Source organism: Homo sapiens, chromosome 9 (genome assembly GCF_000001405.40).
Source record: "Homo sapiens chromosome 9, GRCh38.p14 Primary Assembly".
Lineage (NCBI taxonomy): Eukaryota > Metazoa > Chordata > Mammalia > Primates > Hominidae > Homo > Homo sapiens.
The window spans coordinates 81,460,900-81,471,039 of record NC_000009.12 but is presented as its reverse complement, the minus strand read 5'-3'; positions in this window follow the sequence as shown (position 1 = coordinate 81,471,039).

The following is a 10,140-nucleotide window of genomic DNA, read 5'->3' as shown; positions in this document are numbered from 1 at the left end:
CCCCTCAGAAGTTACTGGAACGTCAACACTCACATTGCATCTTCCTGGAATGGTGTTCTTAGAGGCCAAAGGAGTGTCCTTTACATACACAGGAAATTTTAACAGGAAAATATTTCTTGTTTCTTTGGAGAAAATGATTTCATGGGTTCGTATGATAAGGAAAGTGAAGGGAAGTACAAGGAAGAGTATCTTTCTATAGACTCTTGTTATCTGTTGAAGGAAGTCCTACCTTTTGACTTTCAAAGGTATTCACCTTTGAATATTATATATAGTTCAGTAAATATTAACTTTGGCAATTTTGGTTGCCCTCTTTCTATGCTCAGAACTACTTTTATATATACCTCTTATACCTCCTTAGACAGACATGTAGAAATCACACACATGGGTTAAACAGACACATAGAAATCATAATCTAGAGCCAATTACACATCATGAGAGTCAAAGGACGAATTCTCATTGATTTAACTGTTAAAAACTGGTATAATTAACATGTTCTAAGGCAACAATGTGTGAATATAGTTGGTAGAAATTCAAGTATACAGAAATGGTTTTCGGCCGGGCGCAGTGGCTCATGCCTGTAGTCCCAGCAATTTGGGAGGCTGAGGCAGGTGGATCACGAGGTCAGGAGATCAAGACCATCCTAGCTAACACGGTGGAACCCTGTCTCTACTAAAAATACAAAAAATTAGCTGGGCATGGTGGCACGCACCTGTAGTCCCAGCTACTGGGGAGGCTGAGGCAGGAGAATGGTGTGTACCCTGGAGGCGGAGCTGGCAGTGAGCCGAGATTGCGCCACTGCACTCCTGCCTGGGCGACAGAGTGCGACTCTGTCTCAAAAAAAAAAAAAAAAAAAAAAAAAGATTTTCACATTTTCCATTGAAATGCTAAATATTATTCATACATACATGTATACTCATACATTTAATGTGTGTATGTATGTTTGCAAAGTGGTTACTAATATATTATTTTATTTTGATCCTTATAACAATTGTATGAATTAGGAAAGTAGATATTATTAGCCCCATTTCATTTATAAAGAAACTGACTCTCCAACGTCTTAAATGTTCAGACTTGTCCCTTGCTTAATAATGATCTTTCCACCGATCTCTAGATGTACATATTTAACTGTTTATTTGACATATCTCTTGGATGTCTCCTAAACAACTTAATTTGTCCAAGTGAATTCCTGGCTTTATCCCAAAGCTTTTCCTACCCATTCACCAGTCTTCAAAAGTAAATATCATCACCATCATTTCATTGTGTATGTTAGAAACCCAGGCATCATTCTTAATTTTTTTTTCCTCTTTTAGCAATCTCCTGCATCCAAACCATAATCAATATAACAGATATATCAGATACGTGTCATCACTTCCAAAATACATCTTCTTTCCACTCCTTTCCATTGTCACTGCCAGTACCTTAAGTGGACTGCCATCATCTCTTGCTAGACTTACAATAGTCACCCCTGACAGGTCGCCTAGATTTTACTCTCACCTCCAGTTAATTCTCCATGCAGCAGCTAGTGTGTTCCAAAATGTAAAGTGGATAATGTTTTGCTGCTGTTTAAAATTCTGCAATGGCTCCTGATTACTCTTGGGATAAAATCTGTACTTTTTATTGTGACCTATACAACCTGGTTCTGTCCAACCTTGTGTTGTCTCTGTGCCCCTTGCTCACTATACTCCATCTACCCTAATCTTTCTTTCAGCTTCTGAAACATGCTAAGTTCACTCCTATTTCAGAACCTTTGCACAGTCTAGCCCCTCTATCTGGAATGTTCTTGACTTGATTATCTCCTTATCATCTTTAGGTTTCAGCTTCAATATTACTTTTATACAGAGGCGTTCTGTAAAAATCCCATCCAAAATAGATCCTTGCCATTATTTTTGATTTCATCGCCTCTGTTTCTTTCATAGCATTTATGACAATTAATATTTTTGAACTCGTTTGTGTTGATTCCCTTCTTTACTTGATTGTGAGCTCCACTAGGGCAGTGGCTCTGTGTCTCTTTTTGCCATTCTGTCCTGGGCTCTTAGCAAACTGTCTTGCACATAGTAGGTGTTCAAGAGATATTTGTTCAATAAATGAACCACTTAATTCAAATTCCTCATAATAAAACGGGAAATTAGGGTTGTTGAGGTGAAGTGCTTTGCCCAGTGCAACATGGAGACTTAATGACTGGATCTATCTCTTTTTATATCAGGCATTGGATTTAGTTGTTCAATGATGCAAAGGTAGTGGAAATAGTTTCTTGAGCCTCTCATTCAGGTATTGGATGAGACTAGTTCCATTTTAAGTTAGATGTTTGATTTAGGTAGGTAAAATATAATGACTCTGTAGTTGGAATTTAATCAACCTCTTTCAGCCTGTTTCTGAATATGGGGAGTCTGGCTTCCCTGCAATCACATATTCCTGATGACTTGACTCATGAGAATCATATAAACCAAGAAGGAACTTCACTACTAAAGTTCATAATTTTTAAAAGGATCATTCAACATGGTCAATCTGTAAGAGAATAATGCTTGATAAACGACTGAGAGAGCACTGCCTTTTCTTTCCCATTCTCCTGTCTGGATCCTCCTGCAGAAATCCCTGCAGGGGTCCTTCCTGACAAGAACAGAAATTGTTCTCAAGAGATAGCCTATGACACAATCAAAGCCTAGGACTAGCCTGGAATAGCTGTGGGGACAGAGGAGGCCATTGAGGCAATGCTTGTTGTGATTCAGCCTTGCATTTATAGTTCTGACCTGCACAGCACATTGGCACATGGTATTTGCTCAGTGTTATAGTCAGTGTTGGTCCTCCTCCCTCTCAGATTCCTTACATGGGGCCAGGGTGCCTGTTGGCCACTGCTGTGATCATTGGTTGCTAACAGTTCAGACTTGTCCCTGTTGTGGGCCTAGAAAGCTGCCTCATCTAGAAATGTGTGGGAGATATGTTTCTTGCCATGCCTACCCTTAACTGAGGGCAACCCTAAGCCAATGACTGACAAATATGTGGATAAAAACATCTGGGCTTTTTGAGAAAGTGGTACAATTGTGGTGCTATTCATGCTCCAAAACTTCCTGTGGAAGCAGACAAAGTGTAGACATTGGCTTAATCTGCATCTTCCTCTAGGTTTTTCTCCTGTTCTATCCTCCCATCACTCTCTTACAGATTTTACCTGCAAGCATGCCCTCAATCAGTCATTTGCACGGTGTTCCCCATCTCAGACTCTGTCCCTAGGGAACCTGCCCTAGAACACTTAGAATTTGGGAGCAGTTGTAAATGATATAGATGAGAGATTATCTTAATGGCTCAAACTGCTAATATCCCTGTAACCATATTTCAGGGTACCAATGACAGTTCCCAGGACTGAGATGTACCTATAAAGTTCTTATTTTGAATTTCAGCCTGATCCATCCCAATGGTAAAAGGATTGGCACTATATATAATACTTAACAACACCTCAATCTCTAGGCTGCAGTGAAAGCAGAAGATCTTTTTGTTACCAGAAAAGGGTCCTGATCCACACCCCCGCTCCAAGAGAGGGTTCTTGGACCTTGTGCAAGAAAGAATTCAGGGAGAGTCCATAGAGTAAAGTGAAAGCAAGTTTATTAAGAAAGCAAAGGAATAAAAGAATGGTTACTCCATAGGCAGAGCAGTGGCATGGGCTGCTTGACTAATTCTACTTATAGTTATTTCTTGATTATATGCTAAACAAGGGGTGGATTATTCATGAATGTTCTGGGAAAAAAGTGGGCAATTCTTGGAACTGAGGGTTCTTCCCTTTTAGACTATGTAGGATAACTTCCTGAGGTTGCCATGGCATTTGTAAACTGTCATGACACTGGTGGGAATATCTGTTAGCATGCTAATGCATTATAATTAGCATATAATGAGCAGTGAGGATGACCAGAGGTCACTTTCGTCACCGTCTTGGTTTTGGCTGGCTTCTTTATAACAGCCTTTTATCAGCAAGGGTTATAAGAGGAAGACTTATATCTATGCCGACCTCCTCTCTCATCATGTGACTTATAATGCCTAACGTCCTAGGAGTGCGGCCCAGTAGGTCTCAGCCTCATTTTACCCAGCCCCTCTTCAAGATGGAATCGCTCTGGTTCAAACGCCTCTGACATTTGAGTACTAAGTCATTCTCCTGTCAGTTAATTACAGACTAAGCACCCTTGACAATCCTATTTCATGTATCCCCAGAGAAGTTCATCTTGTAAAAAATAATAATAATAATAATAATATGGCAGTGTTCACTTGCACACTGCCTCTTCAATTATTCTGGTCTTTCTATCTTCTGGGACTAGACCCGTTTTTTCTCATCTTTTGTTATACTAGTCTAGAAAAATTTAGTCCTAGAAATTCTGATTTAACCCAGAAGAACTTGAAGAGGCAGGTATGCTCTTAGGAAATATGGTGACTAAACTTTAGCACTGGTTGAGCTGTCCAGGAAGCATATTCCGAGTGGAAATGAACGCACATGAAATTTAAGAAGTACTGTGGAGATTGGCAGCTGTGGAAGGGAAGAAAAGAAAGTGAGACCGGGCGGAGGGAGAATTGAACTGCAATGCAGTCACGATGGAAGCCTCAGCAAACCCATGGGGAACTTTTTTTTTTTTTTTTTCAGACGGAGTTGCACTCTGCCGCCCAGGCTGGAGTGCAGTGGCGCGATCTCAGCTCATTGCAAGCTCCGCCTCCCGGGTTCACGCCATTCTCCTGCCTCAGCCTCCCTAGTAGCTGGGACTACAGACACCTGCCACCGTGCCCGGCTAATTTTTTGTATTTTTAGTAGAGGAGGGGTTTCACCGTGTTAGCCAGGATGGTCTCCATCTCCTGACCTCGTGATCTGCCCGCACTGGCCTCCCAAAGTGCTGGGATTACAGGCGTGAGCCACCGTGCCCCACCCGAATTTTGAAGCTGCAATGGTCCTTTAGAATTGTTCTGGACACAGCATCATAACAATTGTTCATCAGACATGGGCTGCCCCAGGAATGGAGTGATCTTGAATGTGGAATCTCTCTTTAACAGAAGCAATACTTGTGGGGCGAGGACAGCTGAGAGCTGTCTTCCTGCAGCACTCCAGCAGCGGCAGACTAGTTCCTTCATTCCGAAAGAGAAATATGGGTGGTACAGGGACGCATACAGTCACTCTGTGGTTAGGAAGTCCTGAGACAGACAGAGGCGTGGTGTACTGCTCTAAGATTTACTTTATGTGGTCTCACTCTTTCAGGACACGCTTGACCCAAAAGCTTGTCTTCAAGAATGTAATTGGAAAAGTTACACAGTGGGTAAGTTGCTGGCTCTGGCTGCTTTTAGGTTATCACAGTTGTGTGGGGCTGGATTTAAGAGTAGGCTTATTACTATGGTGCCTCCTAGCTGCTGGTCCAAGAAGAAAATGAGTTGTTTGAAGTCCTGGGTGTTCTAATAGAGGATGGTGTTTTTGTAACATAAGATTATGAATTCTATTCCTGGAATCATATGATTTATATTTAGCTAGGAGCTGGGCTGGCTGTGTGTCTTTGACCACATATCTATTAAAAGAAAGCCCTGGGCTATAAGAGAAAGGCTTATTACAGCTTCTCCCAGTGTCTTGGAAACCTTGAAAGAAAGAAGAATATTTGAGAAGCGAGAAACTGTAGACATTTAAGTAGATACGGACAACAAGACTCAGAAAAATGTCATTAAAGTTAAATATGTCAACTAATTGATTTGATAGAATATAACACTTCCAACACTTTGTATTTTCATTTCCATTTTTAAAAATGCGTATTTTCTTATAGGCCTTATACTTCTTCTGATAAAAGTATGTCTACAGTGAGTACCTCTTTCCGTAAAATGGAAATGATAGATGCCCAGCTATGAAATTTTAAAATTATAGGCTATAAAGCATTTTACAAATTGCTACCCACACAGAGTACTTGGATAAATGGTACATGTTTGAGTAGCCTATCAAATTGCAGCAGGTTTAATCTCATCTCCAGACCTTCTTTAACCCTCTAACTAAATGCCTGGTAAACCAGGACAGATATGAAAATGGTTCAGTATACAGCCAAAAAACCAATAGAGGATGTCTGTTCAGGGTACTTGGGTAGCACATTTAGCACTAAGGGTTTCACAAGCTTCTCAGTGATCTGTTCAGAAGAAATGAGCCTTTTCATTTTAATTTAGATCTACCTCTAACAGCAAATAACTCTGATAGAACTTTAATTTTACCATAGCTCATGGCCCTACTAGTGAAACATGCTAACAAGTCCCCAGCCAGAAAAGCAGAGTTCCAAAAGGGACTTGAAAAATTCTACAGAGCTTCAAGGTTCCTGGGAGAGGGGTGGACCCTGCCCTTAGGTGGTGGACTTGCCTCAAAACTCGAAATATGAGGCTATTTCTTTCTTAGTTGCTTTTTTTTTTTCTTTTTCTTACCATGAAAATGTAGTAGAGAAGAGAAATGGTGTTGTCCTTTTGCATATCCATACTGGAGAACCAAATAAAATCCTGAAGACCTAGTAAGATTTAGCTTTCCAGCAATATAAATAATTTAATCAGATTAATGACATTGTTCTACCTGAGGGGTTCCGTAATTAGTGGATTATTGAAGTCGCGTGAAAGTTATCTGCCATTAGCACCTGGAGGAATTCCTGTTGTCTCAGACCGTGGAATTGAGCAGTATGAATATTCCTGTCATGCAAACTGTAAAGATAATAAGCCCTGGCATTTTGTAAGCTATATAAATCCACAGATTTCACTTTAAATATTTAAGGCACAGGAGGTGTTATTTGTTAGGATATAGATAAAGGGAGTTCAACTGCCTCAGCCCTTTCTCTCGGTTTCGGGAAGTCTCTTTCTTTGTCAAAGGTACTTTCGAATCTTTATTATTGTGTTTCACCACCTCCTTTAGTTTGTATATTGCTTCAGTTCCTCTGGAGATATTATTTGGATTTTGTATGAGAAACATTCAAAATATTTTAACAGAAGGTTTGTCCTTTTCATATAAAAAGGAAATTAATACCAAGGGTGCAAACAGATATGAATCAAGCAGTATATCAAAATATGGTAAATGCTAGAAAGCTATGAAAAGATCATCTCATTACTGTATTCCTAAAATATTTAAAATACCAAGTATTTTTTAGCTTTATGGGTTTCATTCCTCTTGTTTATGTGTTATTTAGCTATGGGAAAAAAGACTGGCCTTTTCATGTGCACCTATGATTTAGCTTTTTATATCACCGTAAGACCTTTCATGTAAACAAAATTTATAAATCAGAAAAAAAATACTGCCTGAGACCGTGTGTCTAAATGGTTGATGCGGAAAATACTGTCACTATAGCTTATGGAGAGAGATGACACAGCCGATTTGGCTGGATGTGCTGCTGAGATAGGAAGTTTCCAAATTAGAGCACTTCTCATTGGGTAAAGGTGCTGCTTCCTTAATTGAGTTCCATTCACTTAAGATAATTTATCAGTCAGGTTTTGTCAGGGGAGGGACAGAAGACTCAAATGGGTAAGTTGAGGTGAGATGAATGAAGGGATTATTTGGACACACATAGGCAGGGGTAAGAAGCAGTAAGCAACGGTGAAGCACCCCAAATCTAGCAATAGTGGAGAGCCCTTAACACATGTAGGCCTGAAGGGGAAAGGGGAGCAGGTAGTTACCCGTCTCCTACAGCTGCAGAGAAGCCCAGCAAAAATTAACATGAATGATCGCTGCCAGCCGTGGACCAAAGCTGCTGCCAACCCAAGGCCTGGCAGGGAAATAGCTGGTGGAATAAATACCCCCAAACCTCTTTCCTCTCACCTTCCGTGCTGTTACCTCCCATTGACTGGTCCTAATTGGACACCAGAGGATAAGAGAACCTGTTGTTGTTACCCATGGAAGTTGGGCTCCCAGACCACACAGTAGGGTGGGAATGGTTGAGAATGGAGCTGAGTGGCAAATAGGAATGTCTGATGCAATCACATTTAAAAATATTTGGCAGAGTTCTTTTAATATGAGGCTTTATGTAGACAACTAATGCATTTATGAGAAGAGTGATGAAGTTATATAATGACATGCTGTATGAATTTATAGCATTGTTAACTTAAGTGGGAAAATCTGTTTGTATATAATTTGCATATACCACAAAATACCACTCATGTTTCCCTAGAGAATTTATGAAATTATTAGCCACTTAGTGGTATGAGAATATCTCAGTCATAATCACACCCAGATTCTTATTTCCTTAGACTGGTTCAGTATCATCTGCCTATCTGATGTGATATGGTGAGAAATATTAAATGACAGTCTGTGTTGGAGTAAACAGGACTTATTTTAGGGGTTTTGTATTCATTAACAGTTGTCCCTATTTCTGCAGTTGTTTGAAGTTCATAGGTCAAATACTGAGTTTTTATAAGTACTTCTATAGCACTGACTATCTTTATTTTAAAAGCATTACTGGGCCCAGGCACAGTGGCTCACGCCTGTAATCTTAGCACTTTGGGAAGCTGAGATGGGGGGAATCACTTGAGGTCAGGAGTTTGAGACCAGCCTGGCCAACATGGTGAAACCCCTGTCTCTACTAAAAATACAAAAATTAGCTGGGGGGGTGGTGCATGCCTGTAATCCCAGCTACTCCGGAGGCTGAGGCAGGAGAATCGCTTGAACCCGGGAGGCGGAGGTTGCAATTAGCTGAGATCACACCACTGCACTCCAGCCTGGGTGACAGAGAGAGACTCTGTCTCAAAAAAAGAAAAAAAGAAAACAGCGTTACTAGACGTAGTGCAATATTAATGTTCAGTGAAATTTGCTCTCTCACATAAGCCTTGAAGTTTTTAATTAGTTGATTAAAGGTATCCCTTCTTATGTTCTCTATTCTCTTTAGTGGCAATAGAAGAGATTTTATATACATCCCAACTTTTTTGAAAGGAAAGGTGTCAAATTTTCCTAGGCAGAGTGTTACTTTAAAAAATTTCTCTGCTTTCCTGAAGCAATTGATTCTATAGCTTCTTCTTTTTTTTTTTTTGAGACAGAGTCTTGCTCTGTTGCCTGGGCTAGAGTGCAGTGGTGTGATCTCAGCTCACTGCAGCCTCTGTCTCCTGGGTTCAGGTGATTCTCCTGCCTCAGCCTCCAGAGTAGCCGGGATTACAGGCGTGCACCACCACACCTGGCTAATTTTTGTATTTTTAGTAGAGACGGGGGTCTTGCCATGTTGGCCAGGCTGGTCTCGAACTCCTGACCTCAAATGATCCACCTACCTCGGCCTCCCAAAGTGCTGGGATTATAGGCATGAGCCAAAGCACCAGGCCAGGTTCTATAGTTTCTTATATTCATTTGCTTATATTTGTCTTTTTTTAAAAATTTTTTTAAGAAGGGCAGGGAGAAAGTATTTTTTTGCCCAATAATAAAGGATTGCACTTACCTTATATTATCTTCCTTGTATGGAGAACTATGGTGTACATAAAACTGAGGGTTAACATCTGGACTCTAGTTTCTTCTACACAACTAATTCATACCTTTGGTATCACTTGCAAATTGTTCCATGGAGTTAGTCAGCACAGGCAAAACGGAGAAGTAAAATGCCCGTGGAGATTAGTGCATTCTATATAGTTCACAGGAGCAGCAGGAGACCTTTGGAAACTCCTAAACTTGCAGAGATGTTTTAACTGAAGGTCTTTAAGATTGCCACATCATGTAAAAACTTTTGTGGAGATAACGGATGACCTTGGCATACTTAAGATGGGTTTGTGGTTTGTGTGCTTAAGAGGACCATGAAGTTAAAAATATTTATGTAATTGTTCTTTAGAAAGCCTTGGGACATTAGCATGAGGTTATAAATTACCGTTAACTTTCACAAAAGCCAGAGGGGCCGAGGTTCTCATTGGGGTGGTCCTGGAATTTATCCACATAATCGTTGCATCTTTGTCAAGTTTTGAAGTCACCAGAAGGACATCCCAGGCAACAAGAAGTTACTGGTGGGCTGATAAAGCAATTGAGTTATAATATGGATCTAATTCTTCTTGGAGCAGCAATTGTAAGACATATGTCAGAAATTTATCACCTCCTTTTTAGAGAGACCTCCAATTAAATAACGAGCCAATGCTGTCTTTCATCTTTCTGGCTCCAGTGGTGGTCTAAATAAATCATTTCTAAACAAATATGTTTTAAAACCTTTTACTCTA